A 24,976-nucleotide genomic window follows, 5' to 3' on the forward strand; every position below is an offset into this window, starting at 1 on the left:
ACTTTTTTTTTTTTTTTTTTTTGAGATGGAGTTTCACTCCATCGCGTAGGCTGGAGTGCAGTGGCACAATCTCGGCTCACTGCAACCCCCGCCTCCCGGGTTCAAGCGATTCTCCTGCCTCAGCAATTAACATTTAGTAAACACCTTCTGGGTCCATAGTAGAATGTCAGTTACTTGCTGCTCATTTAAAGACTAGTTGTTAAGCAAAACTTGAATACAGTATGGCATTTGCTTTGAGTTTATTTTTTTTAATTTCAAGTTTCATGGCTTTTGTTTTTCCATTCTCATAAATAAAACATATGCTTTTATTCCTTGACAGTTATCAGAGTTTGTTCAGTTGAACAATGCCCAACTTGCAAATGAATACTTTTGCAAATACATATGGTGGATATACAAATACATATGTGAATTCATTTGGCTCTAATGTGAACTTATTGAATGTGCTATGTCGAGTTATCTTTTATCAAAAGAACTGTTAGTAACTGAGGACATCAAAAAATTATGCTTGCTCATACATACATAAATGCTATATTTAGGTTTTAATGCTAGCTTTTAAAATGTCTTCTTTGCCCGCTACTTACACTAACAGGATTTCCTTGTTCTTGAAAGTGAAATATATTTTTAAGAACAGGTTTTAAGGCCAGGCGCGGTGGCTCACGCCTGTAATCCCAGCACTTTGGGAGGCTGAGACGGGTAGATCACAAGGTCAGGAGATCGAGACCATCCTGGCTAACAGGGTGAAACCCCGTCTCTACTAAAAATACGAAACATTAGCTGGGCGTGGTGGTGGGCGCCTGTAGTCCCAGCTACTCGGTAGGCTGAGGCAGGAGAATGGCGTGAACCCAGGAGGCGGAGCTTGCAGTGAGCCGAGATCGGGCCATTGCACTCCAGCATGGGCGACAAAGCGAGACTCCGTCTCAAAAAAAAAAAAAAAACAGGTTTTAAAAAAATTTTTAGATTTGTTTTTTTTGTTTGTTTGTTTCCAGTTTTCTCTGCTGTTTCAGACTTAGGACTAGACATGCCTGGCTCTAATTGTCCTCTTAGATTGTTATCCAGCTTTCCTTTGAGACAATATTTTGCACAAAGTGTGTTCTCTTAGCTGGTTGATTCCAGTGATGGCTGGAATCTATGCATAGTGTGGTGTTTCACAGTTAGACCTGACTAGTTATCCTGGCACTTTGAAACAGTTGGTTTCAGGTACCCTTCCACACATACATACAAAAGATGTGCTGATGATAGCACTGACTTTTCAGAGTGGTCTTTTCATCATAATTAAAAGTTTTTTTTTTTTTTTTTTTTTTAAAGCCTGAATACACAATCTGTGCATGGCTTTGATGATTCTGTAGTTAAGAAGGGCAGGAACAGCCTTGGGGAACACTTACTAACTTGGAATCATGAAGAAAGTCACAAGCACCTACAGATGAGCAGAAAAGCAAGATTATTTCATTCATTTTACGTCCACAATACCACAGGGACTGGCTGGTCAGTTACTTGCGCATGTTGTCAAAGCTAACCTTTAAAGACAGTTCATCTGGCTAAAAATCAAATACCTTATACCCAGAGTATTAGATATGCATCAGCGGGTGGCCAGGGTCTTAAGGCAGGAAGTATATTATAGGTGGCCTGGTATTTTGCAGGCTCTTCTGAGCCAGAAGCATTTTTTATCAGAAAGGTTTTGGAAATTATGCTCAGCCCCTGGCATCTTTTTGGTCCTCTCTTGATCGCTAGTCCAGCTGTTGAATGAAAAGAAATGAAGCTGAAGAGACATCACTGTGGCTACAGCTGGTGTTACGGAGGTTGGTGTCATGCTACAAGATAACACACACATCATTTTTACTCATGTGGAAGGCTGCCTTGCTGTGCATTTCCACGGCTGTCAGAAAGATTGATTCCTGAAATACTTTGAAAAAATGCTAAGTACTAGCTACTTTGGGTGTTTACCCAGGGGCACCACAGCTGCCTGGCATTGTAGTATGGCAGCTGAACAGTAATCACTGCTATTTCTCTGATTTGTTTGTGTCTTTGTCAGCATCTGAGAGGAGGGAGGTTCAATCCCAGAGTGGGGCCCTCACTCCACAGTGATCTCATTCAGCCCATGGCTTTAAATACTCTCTGCAATGCTAATGACTCCCAAATTTATGTCTGTGGCCCTGATGTCATCCCTGCATCCCAGACTCATAGATCCGGCTGCCTATTAAATAGCACTGCTTTGATGTCTATGAGGTATCTGAAATTTAACATAAGCAAAACCAAATTTCTGATCTGTCCACCCATATATGACCCAACTTATCATCCCACCATCTTCCCACAGGAGTAAATGGCAACTCCATTCTTGTGGTTGCTCCAGCCAAAGCCTTGTGATCATCCTTGACCCCTCCCTTACTTTGTATCCCACATCCCAAGGTATCCACCTTGAAAGTGGATTCAGTACATGAACACCTCTCTACTGCTGCTGTCTTAATCCAAACCAATGACAAATCTCATCTGGACGATTGTAATTGCCTCCTAACATGTCAACCTGCTTCCTTTTCCCAATAGTGTACTTTCTCATGGCAGTAAAAGGGAATCCTTAAACACAAATTACATTACATTATCTTCTGCTTAGAAATCACCAGCGGCCAGATGCAGTGGCTCACACCTGTAATTCCAGCACTTTGGGAGGCCAAGGCAGGAGGATTGCTTGAGCACAGGATTTTGAGATGAGCCTGGGTCACAAAGTGAGAACCCCATCTCTTAAAAAAAAAAAAATTAAAAATTAGCTAGGCATGGTGGTACGCATCTGTAGTCCCAGCTAATTTGGAGGCTGAGGTGGAAGCATCAGCTGAACCCAGGAGATCAAGGCTACAGTGAGTCACGATCGCGCCACTGCGCTCCAGCCTGGGCAACAGAGTGAGACCCTGTCTCAAAATAAACAAACAAACAAACAAACAAACAAACAAACAAAGGAAATCACTAGTGAATTTCAATCCCAAGGTTCAAACCACATCTGTAAAACCATAAGCGATCAGACTGTCTCATACTTGTTTGCTTATCCTTCTGTTATTTCCTTAGCCGATTTCCTTAACTCATTCACCTGCGTATTCAATGGCCTTTTCATTTCTCTTCGAATAGTTTCCACCTAAGTGCCTTTGAACTTGATCATCTCTATGACTGGAATGCTCTTCTCCCAGGTGTTTACATGGCCTGGTTCCTCTTTTCATTTAAAGCCCATGCCCACTCAAAGGCCATATCTCCTTGTCAGTAAGATCTTTCCTCACCAGCCTTTATAAAATATAGCACTGCTCCCAATGGTCTCTTATTCTGCTATATTTTCTTAATGGACTTTATAATCCTGATGTCTTTTCCCACTGAGTGAAGGCTTTGTTTCGTTCACTGCCAGTTCTCCAGCACCAAGAACAGTGCCTAGTGCACAAAGGGCTTTGATAAGCATCTGTGGAAAGTGCAAACATTCACCTGACTCTTCTTTCTATCTCTATCTCCACCAGCTGTAAAACTGTGCTTAGAATCCCTGAACATTTTATTTTAATGAAATTACCTCTGCAATATCTTTAGCTCTTCAGTGGAAAAATCTTTCAAAATCCAGGGTCTCATGGAGCTCATGTCTCCATCTCTGACTTAAATAGTCCATGAAACACATGATTCTGGAAACTGAGATTGTGAAAAGCACATCTTGCTGCACCCTCCAGTCTTTGTGTGGTCTCTAGCACTTGGTGCCATAGTGACAGTGTCTGGGTAGAACAGATGTTTTTAGTGATCTGAAAATCACTATAAAGAAAAGGCATTTCCTACATCTTGGAGAGAAACTTGAAAGTTCACAAACATGTTAAGTCTAACAATTTCTTAGACTTGCCATTTGCTTTTATCCACTTTCAGGATAACCGTAATGTTTGCAACTCATCTTCTGTGTCTCCCCCAAATAATTCATGTTTCCTTTTCCTCCTTGTCTTATATTTCAATGAGTGAGAAGTGAGGCATCTTACTCTTATTTTGTATTAAAGCCCTGCGCTAATATTTCTAACGTTCTCTTTTACGATTTAGTGAGATTTCAGAAGTGAGAGGGATAGTTTTGTTCTGTTTTCCATGAGTTTTCTAGTTCTTTGAGAGGAAGAGGGACCACGAAATTCAATATTAGTGTTTGTCATAATACTCAGCAAAAGCCTTGCCTGTGGTATACACTCAATAATGTCTGTTCATTTGGGTTTTAACTTTTTTCAAATCTCCTCAGTGTTATAATTACCTGTCCTTTTCATTAGAAATCCAAACCTGATTAGCAATTGTTTTTCCAGAGAATAAGCCACTTGCCTTCTCTAATAGTATTGGATTGGATATCAACTAAGGCATAGCTTCCCAACGGATGTGCAGTGGCACATGACTGTACTCCACATGGATTTCAAATGTGCTCAGACAATGATTCCTGTAAGCTCTCAGGGGCAGCTGGAGGCTCTAGACCAATCATTTCTAACCACAAGATTGTGTATTCCAGGGTGCTCTACAAAAATTATAATTTCCATTATGTGCTACGGCATGAGAAATGTTGAGAGTTAGTCTAGTCCAGTACTGCCTAACTAAACTATCTGTGCAGTCATGGAAATGTTCTAGATCTTCCTTCCAATAAGGTAACCACAGTGCAGCTGGAATTTAAACTCTAAACTATATAAACTATTAGGAACCAAAGATGAAAAATAAGCACAATTCAGCAATTTATCAGACTCGACAAATATTAATTTGAGGTGTTAACAACCCACAGTGGTACCAGCAGGCAGAAATTAAATTAATATATCACTAACTTGAGAATAAAGGCATCAAAGGAAACCTCATTTTTTAATGTGGCTAACATTGTTGGATATTAGCTGGCTGATGCTAGCTATGTACGCTTTTTCTCTTGTTGTCTTCTTTTTGTTTGACGATGTGGCAAATGACAGTGCTGTTGCCTGAAAATGGCTTCAAAGTCACACTTGTATGTCTTACTGTATTGGGTTTAGGTGAATTCTGGTGTCTGTGTTGTTCTTCTAATGGGGCCTGGAGCAATCTAATAATTTGCATTTGGGTCCTATAGACCATATGGTGTTTATCACCCACTTCTCCATCTTAGATGATCTGCCAGTCATTGATGAGGTGAAAGCTGTGTTTGGCAGTGCTTTCATGCTAGGTTAATCATTGTGGAATTAGCTATTGTTTATAGCACTTTTTAATCCAAGCAAGAGTATTCTGGAGTCTGTACATCTGTAAGTCAAAATTTACAACCTAACGTCGATTTACAATGAGGAAAAGCAAGTTAGATAACATATTGCATATTCATAAATTACTCCTAAGAGATAATTAGTACCTGGCCTCCACTTCATGATTCCTCTGTTTGTTAGTTCTTATGATACAATGGTTGTGGAGATGCCTATTTGATCGTATTTCTCAAGGAGACTCTGATCCAGTGTGTTCCACTGCCTCATTAACCTCTGCCCTCAAAATACACCAAGTCAACCTCTGTTTCTTTATTCATGCTGCTCCCTCTTTCTGGAATGGCCCATCCCACCTTTCTTCTCAGGTACATTTTAGCCTTACTTATGGAGGCATTGAAATCTTTAATATTAGTATTAATGTACACTAGCATTTATGGAACACATTTTTTTGTGTGTGTCAGGCGTAATACCCGCCACCTTAACTAGGTATTTCACTTAAACGTCACAACAGGACTTCAAGATATATTTTTTCAAGATATATATGTTTAATACCTATCTCATAAATGAGGAATCTGAGCTTCAAATATGTGAAGCAATTTTCATAAAACAATTTTGTAATGAAGTAGAGTAAGGTTTTAAGCTAGGACTTCCTGACTCTAAAGTCTTTGTTCTTTCCATTGCAAATAAAGAAGACAAAGAAGTCTATTAAAGGTATCTAATGAAGGAATCTGTTCTCCATTAACCTTGTACTCACTTGAGACACAGTTGAAACACAGTAAAACAGCTTTGTAGATTGCTTGCTTGGCTTATTGATTTCCAAATCCTGTTTTCTTTTTGCTACCATCTTACTTCCTGTGTCATAGTGGAAACCAACAAAAGAATTAATTCTTTGTCAAGTGTGTGAGGAAGAGCATGGTGGACCAGAAGTCTTGGTCCTTCCTGGGCAAACAGATACATTGTCTTCTGCACCTATACATGTCCCTCATTCGTGAATTTCGCCCTCTGATTTATATCCTATCTGTTCTATCTTTTAACTAAGAACTGTGAAATCACCCATATCCAGGACTACATGGCTAATCTTTTTATTAAACATTGTCTATCATGTGTTTTTTTTTTTGTTTTGTTTTCTTTTGTTTTTGTTTTTGAGACACGTGCTCACTCTGTCAACCAGGCTGGAGTGCCGTGGCATGATCTCGGTTCACTGCAACCTCCGCCTCCCATGTTCAAGTGATTCTCCTGCCTCAGCCTCCTGAGTAGCTGGGACTACAGGCATGCGCCACCTTGCCTGGCTAATTTTTGTATTTTTAGTAGAGATGGGATTTCACCATGGCAGCCAGGCTGGTCTCAAACTGCTGACCTCAAGCAATCCTTCTGCCTTGGCTTCCATAAATGCAGTGATTACAGGCAAGAGCCACCACGCCCAGCCTCTGTCGTATGTTGTTGAATTCTTGGTCATGCCTATTCAATCAGAGTGTAAATTGCTTGTGTGTAGTATCTTATTTGGTCTTGCCCTATGGCACCAGCTCAAATGCTAGGCTAATCACTGGCAGTTTTTACATATTGTTGATTATGTGAATGATTATCTTCACATTATAACTAGACAAAAAGAGAAGTAAAACAATTAGATATTTTCCCCAGAGATGAGTGAAATAACTGAATAAACTAACTCTTGTTCATAAATTTCTTAAAGAAGGATGACAAATTTATCTTGTAAACATACAAATAACTGGTACCTAATATTTTTCAGTGGGGTGGAGGGTGGAGTAGGATATCAGAATAGGACTCTCCAGCCATTGTCTCCCTGAAGAAACTTTAATTTGAACAACTATCCATGCATGAAAACATCTTCACCAGGGCTAAGGAAATCAGGTGAGCAATCAAAGCACTAGGTTATAGTGTAATGCTAAGAAAAGACGCATCAAAGAGGGCAAGAAAAACAGTTTTATTACCTCTGTCACCCCTCCACAAACCCAGTAAGCATAGCATGGAAAGAGATTCTGTCTGCTTGGGGGAAAGAGAGGGAAGTAAGCATAAGACTTTGCCTGCTACAATGAAATCTAGCATCAGTCAGAATTCCATGACCACTGACTCCAGGCTAAAACCTATGTACGGAGCCTTTAGAACCAACTTGGCACCCGAGAGGAGCCTGTAGCCCCTATGAAATGGAATCAAGTTTTGGTCTGCATTGTGGCCAGCTGACTACAGTGGCCTTGAGCTGTGAATAACCCACAGTGATAGGCAGGCCTTAGTGGCTGTGGGTTTCAGGCATGCCCCAGGGCTGTGCTAGCCTCAGTGGCCACGGGCTTTAGGCACACTCCAATGCTGCACCAACATTGGTGACCATAGGATTCTAGCCCTATGCCAAGCTCAGCAGCCGCAAATCCAATCTTAGTACAGCATAATTTGCAGTGGTCTAGGGCTTAGGGAATTCCCTAGCACTGCAATGACTGTAGTGCTCAAGGGCATAGGAACCATACCGGACAACCTTTTCAAAATGTCTGGACAGGCTTACTGCTGAAAGATGTTTTCAGACAAAACCAGATTGTGAAGGGCCTACTTGTTCAGTGCACAGACATTGATTCATGACTACAAGGACCAAAAATAATTAGGAAAACATGACATCATAAAATAGACAAAATAAGGTGCCATTGACTGACCTTAAAGAGATGGAGATATATGAACTACATAACAGAAAATTCAAAATACCTCCTTTAAGGGAGATCTACAAATGTCAAGAAAATAAAGAGAAATAATAAATTTCAAGGAGTAAAACAATAAGTGACCAGTACAATAAATTTAACAGCAAAATTGAAATGATAATAATAAAATATTCAACAGAAACCCTGGAACTGAAAGATATAAGGAATGAAATAATAAATGCAACAGAGAGAATCAACAAAAGTATTCATCAAGAAGAAGAATCTGTCACTTGAGAACAACTTATTTGAAAATATACGGTAAGATGAGAAAAAGAAAAAAGAATAAAATGGAATGAAGAAAGCTTACTTTGGGGATAGTATCAAAAAGAAAAAGCAAATTATGAGTCACTGACATTTAAGAGGAAACAAAGGAATATAAAGCTATAGAAAGCTTATTTAAAGAAAGAAAAGCAGAAAACTGTCAAATCTGCAGAAAGATATAAATATCCAGTTACAGGAAGGTCAAAGGTCTCCAATCAGATTCAGTCTAATCAGATTTAAATAAAAGCCAAGTCATATTATAATTAACTGTTAAAGATCAAAGACAAAGAGAAGATTATATACACAGCAAGAAAAAAAAAAAGAAAATAAAGGGAGTTTCAGTACACTTAGCAGTAGCAGCACATTTCTCAGCAGAAACCTTACAGACCAGAAGAGAGTGGGATATTTTCAAAGTGATTAAGGAAAAACATGCCCACCAAAAATACCGTACCAAGAAAAGCTGTCCTTCAGAAATGAAGGAGAGATAAAGACTTCCCAGGCAAACAAAAGTCAAGGGAGTTCTTCACCACCAGACCTGTCTTACAAGAAATGCCAAAGGAACTTCTTCAAGCTGAAAGAAAAGAATGCTAGTGAGTAACACAAAAACATTTGAAGGTATAAAACTCACTGGTACAAGTAAGTACAAAGTCAAATTAAGAATACTCTAGGCCGAGCGTGGTGGCTCACACCTGTAATCCCAGCACTTTGGGAGGCTGAGGTGGGTGGATCACCTGAGGTCAGGAGTTCAAGACCAGCCAGGCCAACATGGCGAAACCTCGTCTCTACCGAAAATACAAAAAGTAGCTGGGCGTGGTGGCACGCGACTGTAGTCCCAGCTACTTGGGAGGCTGAGGCAGGAGAATTGCTTGAACATGGGAAGCGGAGGTTGCAGTGAGCGAGATCATGCCACTGCACTCCAGCCTGGTGACAGAGTGAGACTCTGCCTCAAAAAAAAAAAAAAAAAAATACTCTAATACGGTAATGATGGCGTGTAAATTCCTTATATCTTTAGTAAGAAGGTTAAAATATAAAAATACTAAAAATAATAACTACACTAACTTATTATGGTACATGTAATATAAAAAGATGTAAATTGTGACATCAAAAATTCAAAATATGAGTGTGTGTGGAGTTAAAGTGAACAATTTTTTTGTGTGTGGTCGAAGTTAAATTGTTATCAATTTAAAATAACTTATAAAATGTTTTTGTAAGCCTCATGGTAACCACAAAGCAAAAAACTTATAATAGATACACTAAATGTAAAAAGCAAGGAATCAAACCATAGTACTAAAGCAAATCACTTAACCACAAAGGTAGACAGTAAAAGAGAAATAAATTTTAAAAGCATTTACAAAACAGCTCGAAAACAGTGAAAATAATGGCAGTAGTAAGTCCTTACCTATCAGTAACTACTGTGAATTAAATTGATTAAATTATCCAGTCAAAGATATAGAGTGGCTGAATGGATTAAAAAACAAGACTCTTCTATATGGTACCTATAAAAAAATTCACTTTACTGGTAAGGACACACAGAGACTGAAAGTGAAAGTATGAAAAAGATATTGCATGTAAATAGAAATAAAAAACAATAGGAGTAGCTATACTTAAATCAGATAAAATAGACTTTAAGTCAAAAGCTATGAAAAGAGACAAAGTCATTATATAATGATAAAGGGGCCAATTCAGCAAGAGGATGTAATGATTATAGACATATATGTACATCACATTGGAGCACCTAAATATACAAAGAAAATAGTAATAGATCTGAAAGGAGAGAAAGACTGCAATACAGTAACAGTAGGGGCATTCAACAACCCACTTTCAGCAATGGAAAGATTATCCAAACAGAAAAATCATTGAATTGAAACTGTACTCTAGACCAAGTGGACCTAACAGACATATACAGAACATTCCATCCAACGGATGCAGAATACAGATCCTTCTCAACTGCCCATGGAGCATGATTCAGGATGGGTCCCATGTTAGACCACAAAACAGGTGTTATCCAGCTTTAGAAGACTGAAGTAATATCAAGTATCTTTTCAGACCATGATGGTATAAAACTAGGAATAAATAACAGGAGGAACTTTGGAAAATTCACAAATGCATGAAAATTAAACAACATGCCCCTGAACAAGCAATTGATCAATAAAGAAGTTAAAAGGAAAATTTAAATTTTTTAAGACAAATAAAAATGGAAATACAACATACCAAAAGCTATGAGATATAGCAAAAGGAGTTCTAATAGGAAAGTTTATAACAATAAATGCCTATATCAAAAAAGAGAAAAATCTTAAATAGCCTAAGGTTGCACTGCAAGGAACTAGAAAAACAAGTAGAAACTCAACCCAAAATTAGTAGAAGGAAGGGAATAATAAAGATCAGAGCAGAAAAGAGTAAAATGGAGATCAGAAAAACAATACAAGAGATGAATGAAGCAAAGGCTTTTTGAAGACAAAATCAACAAACCTTTAACTAGATTAAGAAGAGAGAATATTCAAATAAATAAAATCAGAGATGAAGAAAGAGACATTACAACCTAGACTGAAGAAATGCAAAGGATCATAAGAGAGTATTATGAACAATTATATGCCAACAAATTAGATAATCTAGGAGAAATGAATATATTCCTGGACAAATACAACCTACCAACATTGAATTATGAAGAAATAGAAAACCTGAACAGACCAATAACAAGAAAATTGAATCAGTAATAGAAAGTCTCCCATCAAATAGAAGCCCAGGCTTTACTGCTGAATTCTACCAAATATTTAAGGAAGTAATACCAATTCTTCTCAAGCTATTACAAAAAATTGGAGAGGAGGGAATACCTCCTAAATCATTCTGTGAGGCCAGCATTACACTGATACCAAAAACAGATAAGGACACAACAACAACAGAAAACTACAGGCCAATTTCCTTGATGTTTACACATGCAAAAATTCTCAACAAAATAGGAGAAAACCAAATTCAACAACACATAAAGATATTATTTACATGATCAATTGAGATTCATCAAATGGATACAAGGATAGTTCGCATACACAAATCAATAAACATGATACATCACATTAACAGAAGGAAGGATAAAGACCACATAATCATTTCAATAGTTGCAGAAAAAGCATTTAATAAAATTCAGTATCCTTTCAAGATAAAAACTCTCAACAAATTAGGTATAGAAATTAGGTATAGAAACAGTGCACCTCATGACCATAAAGACCATATGTGACAAACCTACAGCTAACATCATGCTGAATGGGGAAAAGTTGTAAGCTTTTCCTCAAAGATCTGGAACAAGATATGGATGTCCACTTTCACTACTTCTATTCAACATAGTACTAGAAATCCTAGCCAGAGCAATTAGGCAAGGGAAAGAAATAAAGGGTATCCAAATGGAAAAGGAAGATACTAAACTTTTCATGTTTGCAGAGACATGATCTTATATATATAGAAAACCCTGAAGAGTCCACCAAAAAACTTTAGAACTAATAAACAAGTTCAGTAAAGTGGCAAGATATAAAATCAGCATATAATAATTAGTAACATTTCTATACACTAACAGCAAACTATCTGAAAAAGAAATATTATTTTAAAATCTTTATTTCTAGTAGCTACAAAAATGTAAAATACCTATGAATACATTTAACCAAGAGGGAAAACCATCTCTACACTGAAAACTGTAGCCGTTTTACATTTTACAGAATCTTGATGAAATAAACTGAAGAAGACACAGATAAATGAAGAATATTTGTATTCACAAACTGGAAGAATAAATACTGTTACAATGTCCATACTACTCAAAGTGATCTACAGAGTCAATGCAATCTCTATCAAAATACCCATGACACTTTCCACAGAAATAGAACAAAGAATCCAATAGGTTTTATAAACTGCAAAAGACACAAAAGAGCCAATGCAATCTTGAGCAAAAAGAACAATGCTGGAGGCATCACACTACCTGACTTCAAAATGTACTGTGATGCAATAGTAACCAAAATAGCATGATACTGGCATAAAAACATAGACCAATGAAGCAGAATGAAGAGCCCAGAAATAAATCTACACATTTACAGCTAACTCATTTTTTTTTTTTCAAAAACTGCCAAGAATACACAATGGGGAAAAAGCAGTCTCTTCAATAAATGGTTTTGGGAAAACTGGATAGCCACATGCAGAAAAATGAAATTAGACTATTATATCTCACTCTATACAAAAATCAATTCAAAATGGATTAAAGACAAAGGTAAGACCCACAAGTGTAAAACTATTAGAAGAGAACATAGGGGGAAAACTCCATGACACTGTTTTGGGCAATGATTTTTTGGATGTGACTTCAAAAACAGAGGCAACAAGAGCAAAAAAAATAGACAAATGGAATTTTATCAAACTAAGAAGCTTCTGCACAGCAAAAGAAAAAATCAATAGAATAAAAGCAGCCTATAGAATGAAAGAAAATATTTGCAAACTATACATCTGATAAGGGATTAATATACAAAATATATAAGGAATTCAAACAACTCAATAGAAAAAAGTCAAATAACCCATTAAAAATGGGCAATAGACAGGTATAGACATTTCTCAAAAGAAAACATACAAATAGCCAACAGGTACGTCAAAAAATGTTCACCATCACTAATCATCAGGGAAATGCAAATCATGACCACAGTGAGCTATCACCTCACTCCTATTAGAATGGCTATTGTCAAAAAAAAAAAAAGATAAGTTTTGGTTAGATTGTGGAGAAAAGGAAACCCTTGTGCACTATTGGTGAGAATGTGAATTAGTGCAGCCATTATGGAGACAGTATGGAGGTTCTTAAACAAATTAAAAATAGAGCCATAATATGATCCAGTAATTCCACTCCTCGGTATATATCCAAAGAAAACGAAGTGAGTATGTCAGAAACATATGCACTTCTATGTATATTGCAGCATTATTCACCATAGCCAAAGTATGGAATCAACCTAAGCATCCATCAATGGATAAATGGATAAATAAAATGTATATAGATACACAATGAAATACTGTTTAGCCAAAAAAAAATAAGAAATCTTGTCATTTGCAACAACATAGATGAATCTGGAAGGCATAAGTTTAAGTGAAAGATCCCAGGCACAATATGACAAGTACTACATGATCACACTGACGTATGGAATCTAAAAAACTCATCTCAAAAAGGTAGAACTTTGAGTGATGGATACCAGAGGCTGGGGTGGCTGGGATGGGAGTGTTGGGGAAATGTTAGGCAAAGGATATATAATTATAGTTAGATAGAAGGAATAGGTTCAAGTGATCTATTGTGCAGCATGATGACTATCATTGATGACAGTACATTGTATTCTTGACAAATGCAGAGACTGGATGTTAGGTGCTTTCACCACAAAAATGACAACTACGTGAGGTAATGCACTTGTTGATTAGTTAGATTTAACCATTCTACAATGGATATATACTTCAAAATATCATGTTGTACATGATAGATACATACAATGTTATCTGTCAATTTAATTTGAAAAAGAAAGAATGAGAAAAGATACTTTTCAAAGAGTATTAATAGTCATTTTTCTGAATTCCTGTAGTGTATTTTCAAGATGAATAAGTTTTCTAAAGTAACTGAAGCATATCTCATTAGCCATCAAAAATTATTTTTAATGGCAGTTTTTAATGTAGATCTTCAGAAAAAAAGCACACAATTACTGCCTTTTAAAATAGAATGCATGAAATACAATTAAATCTTTCCTTGACTAGTCAAATCAAAAAATTTTTTTGGAATATCTTCTGTTTTACCTGTTATGAAAAACACTAAAATCCAGGGAAATAAAAGTTTAGAAATTTATTCTTAGTGCGTTTACAATCTCAATGGAAAGTTAAATGTGTAGAAGGAAAAGTTACAATCTGGCCTCTTAAAGGCGGGACAGAGGTAAACAGATTGTGTTTAAGAGTCCCAGAATTAGTAAAGTTTAACCTACAAGTTGACATCTGTGGTAGTCATGGAAGGATGGGTTAGGATTTAAGAAGGAGGGATACGGAAGGATGGGTTAGGATTTAAGGAGGGATACAGCATTCTAGAAGAAAAGGAGGGGCATTCTAAATGATTCCAAGAAAGTGGTAAATTGGGGAAATGGTAAAATGTTCAGTGTGCTTGATTAGTAGCAGCTTGAGAATAGTTCCAGACTTTACAGGAGCATGAAAAAAATTCAATTCGGATCACATTACTTTCTTGCTTACAAACCATTGTTCTGCTGTTACTGAGTAAAAGTCTTAGCTTGTTAAAATGCAAAAAATGTGAGCAAGCCCAGCCAAGATGAGCAAAGCCACATGCTTGACCTGCAGTTAACCACAGATACATAAGGGAGTAAAACAAAGATCATTCAAGCCTGGCCCTGATCAGTTATCTTGGAGACCTATGACCAATAATAAGTGACCATTATTTTAAGCTACTAAGATTTGGGATATTTTGTAACTCAGTAGTATTTCACTGATGAATTGTATTAGTGCTTTTCTATTCTTCTACCCTAAAGTAAAAATGTCTTTGCTACTTATCACATTCAAAGAAATGTGGAGCTGTAATAGAAACAAATTTTGCCAGGCAAATAGGACCATGGTATTGCTTTGGGCTGGCATAGATGCAATTCCATGTAATTCCATTTCTTGTTATAAACTTGGCTCTAACTGTACAATGTATACTTCAGTATATGGACAGATGTAGATGTAGATACTGTGTATAGGTATGCACTATTTATACCTCTCAAAAATTTACCAAAGTCTTCATATCCATAGCACTGATATTTTTTAAATTAACTCTTGTTAGTATGGACAATTTTAGCTATAATATTCACAAACGTAGAGAGAATAACATAATGAAACCCTATGTACTTATCACCAAGCTTTAGTAATTTCTAACATTTTGCATGTGTTGTTGTTTGTAACAGGCTTTTGTTTTGTTTTATTTTTGTTTTTGTTTTCCTTTCTTTTGACAACATGAGTGGTGTTCAATGCTACTAAGAACAAATTTGCAGATTTTTCCTGCAATGCTTGAAATGATTAACCTCTGTTTGTTGCCAAGTAACTCTTGGGTACGTACTGATAGCAAAAGTAATATAAGAATATTCACAGCATAGTTAAATTTGGATAGCAAGTATTATTTAAAGGGTGCCTGATATTATTGCTTATAGGCATGTTTTTCTTTCTTGTACCTCTTATTTTTGGTAGTAATCATGTTTTTAATGACTTGTGATAGACTTGTTTTATGAAACAATAGAAAATCACCATAGGACCTCTTTAGTAAGCTTTTAGAGTGTTGAAGCTACTTGAAATCTTCTCTGGTGGGAGATTATTATTTGCTAAATAATTGTTTGCATAAACTGACTCCTCCAACAGTGTTAGTTAAATGAATCATAACAATTAGTATAAACAGAGAAAAGTAATGATGATCTAGGCAAGTAACTTATAGGTGTTCTGTTTGTTGAACAAAAGAATGAATGGAAAATTAGGGCTCTTATTTATTTATTTATTTATTTATTTATTTATTTATTTATTTTTTGGCTGTATCCAGGATAGAATAAATAAAATGTTTGTTTTCAGTCTGCCTTCACCTATACTTCTTGGTAAGAAAGGAAGGATGAAAGGAAATGGTGGATTGAGGGAGGATGAGAGGAAGAAGGAAAAAAGAAAGGAAGTGAGAGAGGCTAATTATCTGGAGGTTTTTTTTAAAAGCAGTAATGCCACCAAATTAAAGTAGCTTTTCAATTTAATGCACAATATTTATATTACTATTATATTGGCATTTCAGGGTGCCAAGTGTAAAGAGGTTATCTTAGATGCACAGAATATCAAAAAAAACCTGTGCTATCATCTCCCAGTGCAGCCTAATCATTGACAGAGGTCAAGAAAGTTAAAGCAAGTGCTGAAGTTGAATATATTAATATACAAAAATATAGTATTTGTATTAGTCTGTTCTCATGCTGCTAATAAAGACACACCCAAGACTGGGTAATTTATAAAGAAAAAGAGATTTAATGGACTCACAATTCCAAATGGCTCAGGAGGCCTCACAATCATGGCAGAAGGCAAAGGAGAAGCAAAGTAACATCTTACATGGTAGCAGGCAAGAAAGCTTGTGTAGAGGAACTCCCATTTATAAAACCAGTAGATGTCGTGAGACTTATTCACCATCACAAGAACAGCATGGGAAAGACCTGCCCCCATGATTCAATTGCCTCCCACTGGGTCCCTCCTCCCACGACATGTGGGAATTATGGGAGCTACAATTCAAGATGAGATTTGGTGGGGGACACAGCCAAACCATATCAGTATCATTACCCATAAAGACACAGATCACCAATGAAATTTAATTCATCTAGAGAAATGCATTGTAGTAGTACTAAAGTTATTTGGTTAACTTTATGTTCCTATATTTTATGCAAATACGAATTTTTTTATAAGATTTGGGCTGTTATAAAATGTCATTCTAAAGAACATCTCTAATATTTTATGTAATTACTACAAAAATTAAAAATAGTTTTATATTTATAAACCTTGAATTTCAGTGGAGGCCATGCTTATTAAAATTCACTTTCTTTTTGGTTACAGCATTAAAGGGGCTTCTAGAATGCTTACCTTTTTTCAGTCCACTATCATAATGAGAGCCTCAAATTGTATGTCATCATTGGGTCATGTAATCATTAAAGAGTTCTACTTATGAGAGCCAATAACAGACATGACCCTTTCTTCTAGTCTGTTCAGGCAAGCAGATCAAACCTCTTCAAATCCTACAGTAAAAGTTTCACTATTGTCAAATATAGCTTAGTCCTAATGAAGTACATTAAATTTACACAAAACTTTCTGTCCTTGTTTCCAAACTTCATCTAAATAAGTTTCTCCCACCTCCCTCCCACAGCATTGCTCATAATCAGGAAAAATATGGTGTCTAGTAGAAACCATGTTGGAAAACACAAATGTGAAAAAGCAATCTACAGGCTGGGCCTGGTGACTCTTGCCTGTAATCCCAGCACTTTTGGAGGCCGAGGTGGGTGGATCACCTGAGGACAGGAGTTCGAGACCAGCCTGGCCAACATGGCGAAACCAGGTCTCTACTAAAAATGCAAAAGTTATCCAGGCGTGGTGGTGGGCGCCTGTAGTCCCAGCTACTCAGGAGGCTGAGGCAGGAGAATTGCTTGAACCCGGGAGACGGAGGTTGCAGTTAGCTGAGATCATGCCACTGCACTCCAGCGTGGGTGACAGTCTCCAAAAAAAAAAAAAAAAAAAAAAAAGCAAACTACCGAAATAGAAAATATTTGAAGTATGTGACCATTAAAATTAGAAGAGGTAGGTTTGAATTCTGGCTTCTGTCCTCACTGGACATTTGTTTTTGAAGTTTCTATGTCTGTTCCTTTGTAGCAAACTGACAGTTTTAAATAAAGTAACGTAACCGCACACCCCAAAACATAAGTGTTAATTTTCCCTACTGCACACCCCAAACCACACACCCCAAAACATGTTAATTTTCCCTATGCATATGCTTACTTGTGATCTTATATTTATGTTCTTGTATCTTATAAGCCTTAAATTTATGCTGAGAGTTCTAGCCAACAACACATCTACTTAATGTTTTGTCAGTGAAATTAAGCAGAGGGTGTTATGTCAATATTTAATGATAGATTGATATATTGCATGGGCTACTTTGTTTTTAATCCTTGGCCAGGGCCGTTAAATATTTATTGACAGTTACCAAAAAAAATGGTTTTTAGGCTAACTTCTTTTTGTAAATATATGTTCAGTAATTGCCAATAACTTCCATACTAACTGAAGTATATTAGTATATAGGAAGCTGTTGCTATGAAATAACTGTAATATTTCAAAAACTAAATGTTTTTTATTTCAATAGTTTTGGGGGAACAGGTGGTGTTTGGTTACATGGGTATGGTCTTTAGTGGTGATTTCTGAGATTTTGGTGCACCCATCACCCGAGCAGTGTATACTGAACCCAATGTGTAGTCTTTAATCCCGCACTCCCCTCCCATCCTTCCCCCAACTCCCCAGAGTCCATTATGTCATTCTTATGCATTTGTGTCCTCATATCTTAGCTCCCACTTATAAGTGAGAACGTACAATGTTTGGTTTTCTATTACTGAGTTACTTCACTTGGAATAATGGTCTTCAACTCCATCCAGGGTGCTGTGAATGCCATTATTTCATTCCTTTTTATGGCTGAGTAGGTATTTCATTTTATATATATATATATATTTATACACCACATTTTCTTTATCCACTCATTGGTTGATAGGTATGTAGGCTAGTTCCATATTTTTGCAGTTGTGAATTGTGTCATAAGCTAAATGTTTGGAAATACATTGGAATTATTTCTGAAGTTCCGGAATGGCTTTGCTATTCTACATTAGGTGGTTTATTGAATATTTTTAGAGAAGAACCTCTTGATTTTCAGTTGTTTGTGTGGGGAGAAGAGATGGTGGTGGTGGTCATTCTTCATATGGGGATTTGGAAGATGAAAGAGTAGGTTACTCATTCTTTATATGGATTTTCATCAGTCCTTCTCATTTTGGCCTTGCATCTCTTCCCCGTACCCTATCATACCTGATCTTTCTGGGTACTAAGCCTGTACAAGGTTTCTAAACCCTTCATGGCTTCCTTCATGGCTGTGGTCCACTCTATGACAGCCCAGGCTGCAGTTTCCACCACTATGTATCAACAGCTCCATGTTAACAATAGCTTTCTGTCTACCAGAAAATTGAACTTTCCTGACCATTTCTGTTTGAAATATAGGTAATAAAACCACTTTTAATATGTGGTTATCATAGGGCAGAATTTTTCAACCTCGGAATTATTGAGCACTATTAACATCTAGGGCCAGATAATTCTTGCGTTTGTCTTTCCTGTGCATCGTAAGATCTTTAGCAGCGTCCATTGTCAAGTAACACCCCCTACCAATTGTGACGATCTCAGTTGAGAACCACTGTCATAAAACCATGCCAATGAGTAATCATGCAGGACTGTGTATCACAAACAGAATACCAAGAAATGTAAATACCTTCTGCAGAAGCGCAAGCATATGTAAACCAACTCAATATAATCTGGAAGGTCATTAAATTACATTATACTATACTTTAGAAATATAATGTCTTTGTGATATCCTGAGACAAGCAGATTATTTAAAATGTTCTGACTTTCGCAGTGACATTGTGCCTTTTTTGTGTTCCAAAATTTTCTTTTGATAAGCATTTCTAAATAACTTGGGATTTATCCTTTTTCATTTATGAAGGCCTTTTATCTGCTAATAGAAAGAAGAAAAAAAGATATGCTATGATCATTTTGCATACTGCCTCATTGCTAGAGATGCTTTCCCTCACAGGATACATAATTTCTTGGAATAGACTATTGTTCCTAGAAGATAATTAGTGACTGTTTTTTTTTTTTTTTTTTGGTTTTTTGCCTGTCAATAGAAGTGAAAACAGTAGTTGGCATGCTCACCTACTTGATTATAGCTATTACATCAATCAGCATCCTTTTCCTATGCTTCATCATCATTTATCTCAATAATTATATATTGTTTCATTTTTCTCACCATTTTTTCTTTAGCATTAACTATACACAAATTTATTTAAAATGGCTGAAATTAGTCATGCAATCAGTTGGAATTCATCCTCACAACATTTATGCAAAATCTACTGCAGTAATTGTTTTAAAAGTGAAATTTAAAAATATTGAACCACCTTTATTTATTCTACATCTAGTCGTACTCTCTTTTGTTTACCCTCCATGTTTTTCTCCACTCATTTGGTCAGAATCAGGGTTTAGTGGGTGGTTAAATGTGTTCTGGGATCTGCCGTGAGTCTTGGTGCATCAAACAGGGCTGAAGACAATGAAAGCTGTGGCATAAAGGACAAATGTAGAAGGTGAAAAACGAATAGAGACCCTGAACCTTAACATTATCTCCATGTTGACCACGGTTTCCTTTGGTATTCTTGAGTAATTCTATGACGAAAATAATGAATAGAGTATTTTCATTGTTTCTTTTACCTTGGAGGTTTATCAAGATGTTGGACAGCAACGAAATGTAAATTCCGTAACTCATGTGTTAGGACACTACTTCATAATAAATATTTTTTAATGAGAAAAAACTAAATCATGATTATATCCAATTTGCCAGTTAAATATGTTCCACACATCAGTGAACTAAGGAAGTGCTGGAGAATTGTTCTTAGTAACTTGGATAAGCAGGACCCCGATTGTATTAGTCAAAAAATAAATTTGGGTGTATACTTTTTATTGATGTGTCATAGTTATACACATTTTGGGGTGTATGTGATATTTTGATGAATGTAGGCAATGTGTAATGATCAAATCAGGGTAATGGGGATAGCCCTCATCTCAAATATTTACCAATTCTTTATGTTGGTGGGAACATTACAATTCTTCTCTTCTAGCTATTATGATATATGCAATAAAGTATTCCTAATTATAATTTTCCTGCTGTACAATAGAGTACTAGAATTTATTCCTTCTATCTAACTATATTTTTGTACATGTTAATCAACTTCTCTTCAACTGCCCAAAGCAATTGACACATTCATTGCAATCCCTATCAAAGTACTAATGTCATTTTTCACAGAAGTAGAAAAAAAATCCTAAAATTCATATGGAACGAAATGGAGCCCAAGGAGCCAAAGCAATCCTAATCAGAAAGAACAAAGTTGGAGGCATCACACTACTTGAGTTCAAATTGTACTACACAGCAACAGTAACCAATACAGAATGGAACTGGCACAAAAACAAACACATACACCAATGGAACGAAATAGAGTTGTTATGACCAACCATTCTATTCTCTACCTTCATAAGATTGACTTGTTTTGCTCTCACATATGAGTGAGAAAATGTGATATTTTTCTTTCCGTGCCTGGCTTATTTCACGTAATATAATGACTTTCCATCTATCTTGCTGCAAATGACAGATTTTCATACTATTTTATTGCTGAATAGTATTCCAATGTGTACATATGCCACATTTTCTTTTTATTATTTTGAGGAAACTCCATAGAGTTTTCCACAATGGCAGTACTACTTTACGTTTCCACCAACAGTGTACAGGCATTCACTTTTCTCTGCAGCCTCTCCAACATTTGTTATTTTTTGTCTTTTTGATAATAAATAGCATTTCTAGCTGGGCTGAAATTTCTCTTCGTGGTTTTTGTTTGTGTTTTTGTTTTTGGTTTGTTTTTGAAACGGAGTTTTGCTCTTGTTGCCCAGGCTAGAGTGCAATGGCGCGATCTCAGCTCACTGCAACCTCCGCCTTCCGGGTTCAAGCGATTCTCCTACCTCAGCCTCCCAAGTAGCTGGTATTACAGCTATTTGTGGTTTTAATTTGCATTTCTCTGATGAAGATTTTTGCTGTTGAGTTGTTTGAGCTCTTTATATATTCTACTTACTAATCCCGTGTGTATTAGTTCATTCTTGAATTCATATAAGGAACTACCTGAGACTAGGTAATTTATGAAGAAAAGAGGTTTAATTGACTCACAGTTCTGCAGGCTGTGCAGGAAGCATGGCTAGGGAGGCCTCAGGGAATTCACAATCAGGCAGAAGTGAAGAAGAAGCAGGCACATCTTCATATGGCAGAGCAGGAGAGAGACAGCGAAGGGGGAAGTGCTACACACTTTTAAACAACCAGATCTCCTGCGAACTCACTCACTATCATGAGAACAGCAAGAGGGAAGTCCGCCCCCATGATCCAGTCACCTCCCACAAGGCCCCTCCTCCAACATTGAGGATTACAATTCGACATGAGATTTGGATGGGGATGCAGAGCCAAACCATATCACCTTGTCAGGTAGATCATTTGCAGATAATTTCTTCCATTTTGTAGGTTGTCTCTTCACTTTGTTAACTGTTTCCTTTGCTGTGCAAAAGCTTTGTAGCCTAATGTAATCTCAATTATCTGTTTTTGCATTGGTTGCCTGTGCTTTTGAGGTCTTAACCAAAAAATCTTTGCTCAGAGCAATGTCCCCTAGCATATCCCCAATGTTTTTGTCTAGTAGTTTTATACTTTCAAGTCTTATATTTAAGTCTTTAATCCATTTTGAGTTTATTTTTGTATATGGTAAAAGATGGGTATCTACTTTTCTGAATATGAATATCCATGTTTCCCACACCATTTATTAAAGAGACTATCCTTTCCCCAATGTATGTTCCTGGTGCCTTTGTAAAAAATGAGTTGGCTGTAAGTGCATGGGTTTGCTTCTGGGCTCTCTATTCTGTTCCATTGGTGTATGTGTTTGTTTTTGTGCCAGTACCATTCTGTATTGGTTACTATTGCTTTGTAGTACAATTTGAACTCAAGTAGTGTGATGCCTCCAACTTTGTTCTTTCTGATTAGGATTGCTTTGGCTCCTTGGGCTCTATTTCGTTCCATATGAATTTTAGGATCTTTTTTCTACTTCTGTGAAAAATGACATTAGTACTTTGATAGGGATTGCAATGAATCTGTCAATTGCTTTGGGCAGTATGGTCATTTTAATGATATTAATTCTTCCAATGTATGATATGAGTGTGGGATGTCTTTTCATTTGTGTACATCCTCTTCAACTTTCTTCATCAGTGTTTTATAGTTTTCCTTGTAGAGATCTTTCATCTCCTTGGTTAAACTTATTCATAGGTATTCTATTTTTTGTGCTATTGTAAAGGGGATTTCTTTCTGAGCTAGTTAATTATTTGTGTATAGAAATGCTACTAATTTTTGTATGTTGATTATTATCCTGCAACTTCACTGAATTCATTTATCAAATCTAAGAGTTTTTTGGTGGAGTTTTTAGATTTTTCTATGTATAAGATCGTGTCATCAGCAAGTAAGGATAATTTGACTTCTTTCTTTCAAATTTGAATGCCATGTATTTCTTTCTATTGCCTAATTGTTTTTACAAAGACTTGCAGTACTATGTTGAATACAAGTGGTAAAAGTGGACATCTTTGTCTTGTTCCAGATCTGAGTGGAAAGGCTTTCAGTGTTTCCCTATTCAGTAAGTGAAGGATAGTAGAGATTAGCCAGAGCTTATCTCATAATAAATGACTATGACATTAGCCTAAAATATGAAACTTTCCAAGACCACTTCCCTTTGGGGGATCACAAGGAGATGAGTCATCAGTCACTGCCTTACATTTTTGAAATATAAATCAACATTGAATAGTAAAATTAGCCTTATGGATAAAAAGAGGTGACTAAACTGATTTATAAAAACTTGTCTCTGGATAATTAATCCACCCTAAACTTGCTTCTCTTATGTTGTCTCCACATATGGTTAAATGGTACCACCATTCATGTGTTTGCTCAAGCTCATAACTAGGGATCATGCCCCTTAACTCATGAACATTCGTTTATAATTCACATCTAGTCAGTCAGTAAATTTTGTTAGTTCTACTTACCAAATAGATACTTAAGGGAAAAAAATTCTACCACTTCCACCACCAACACTGTGCCGTCGCCTTTCAGTGGACTGCCTCAACATCTTCCTCCCTGCCTTCCTGCCTCCATTCTGCCTCTCTGCCTCCACACCACTTCATTCTCCCAGACTTGAACACCAAAATGCCAGAGTGATACCTCTGGTACAAATGCTACTTGGGGCTCTCTTATTTTTAAAACTCTCCAAAGCATTCCTCTTATACTTAAAATAAAACCCAAGTCCTTTCCATGTTCTACAAGGCCCTTCCTGCATTGGCCAGTGGCTATCTTTGAATTCATTGTCACTCTTTTTTTACATCATTATAGATACAGTGGCATTCTTTGCCCTCTCTTAAGCATGCCAAGTATACTCCATCTCAGCACCTTTGAACTTGCTCTTCCCTCTGCCTGGCATAAACATCCTCCAGGTTTTGCTATGACTCACTTCCTCCCTTCTCACAGATATGTTCCAAATGATCATCAGAGCAAGCTTTCCTGACAGTTTTTTCTAAAATAGCATTTACATTAGTCTCTATCTCTTTAGCTGCTTTAATTTTCATAGTACTTATAATCACCTGGCATTATATTGTGTGTGTATCAATTTATATGATTATTTTGCATCTCCTTCTCTGGAATGCAGGCTTCATGAAAGCAGAAGTTTTGTCTGTCTTGTTCACTATTATAGCCCCTAGTACCTGGTAGAGAGGAAATATTTTAAAAATATTTTTTGAATGAATAAATGAATATTTTTATAGTTTAATTACAAACCACACTTATCAAATTAAATGAACAAAATACTAAGTATCAAAGCTAGCCAAATGAATTCCTTGGCTTTCCTAAATACATGTCTTTTGATGGATATATTATGAGTTACTTCCTTGGAAGTATTTGTTCTGTCTCCTTGGCATGACTCTTAAGTTACCTTGTATATGTTGTTAGTTTAGTCATCAACTGACCTCCCCGCACCTTTCTGTTCAGTTGCTTAGTCACTCCTCACTCTTTGAGGCTCCTGAGGCTCCATGACTCCGTGGTTAGTCACCACAATTATTTGCAACAGAAAGGAGAAATGTTGCCAACCCCAAAGCATTAGAGATAAGTGAAAAATAGAGCACCCCTTTCACCCCAAGTGGATTCACCTAGTAAATGTTGATGTTTTCTTCTGTCCATTTCCTTCTTCTGCAAGGACCATGAGATTGTGTTTACATTCTACAGCTCTCACAAGATGTATGCTCCAATATTAGAAACTAATGTTTAAACATTCCAGGCCAAAGAAAGCAAAACTGAAATTCCACTCTTGAGTCATTCAGAGGTTGAAGCATTATGGGTGATCCAAGTTCCCCTGACTATCTGTGAACACAGGCAGTTGTTTGTCAATTCTTTTAAGTTAA

At 36.6% G+C, this 24,976-nt stretch overlaps 1 protein-coding gene across 3 annotated transcripts in view, besides 1 other annotated feature; it reads left to right on the forward strand.

Annotated features, from left to right (window-relative positions):
• The window catches only part of IL1RAPL1 (interleukin 1 receptor accessory protein like 1), a 1,369,273-nt gene that overhangs the window by 1,050,821 nt on the left and 293,476 nt on the right, over positions 1-24,976 (forward strand). The window lies entirely within an intron of this gene.
• Positions 23,510-24,709: an enhancer, noted in NCBI's record as "P300/CBP strongly-dependent group 1 enhancer chrX:29679893-29681092 (GRCh37/hg19 assembly coordinates)". NCBI's record gives its function as "activates an origin of replication core promoter dependent on BRD2, BRD4, P300/CBP, MED14 and CDK7 cofactors, with strong dependence on P300/CBP, by STARR-seq in HCT116 cells {active_cell/tissue: HCT116}" and the evidence as "EXISTENCE:reporter gene assay evidence [ECO:0000049][PMID:35650434]".

The sequence above is a fragment of the Homo sapiens genome, chromosome X (genome assembly GCF_000001405.40).
Source record: "Homo sapiens chromosome X, GRCh38.p14 Primary Assembly".
Classification (NCBI taxonomy): domain Eukaryota; kingdom Metazoa; phylum Chordata; class Mammalia; order Primates; family Hominidae; genus Homo; species Homo sapiens.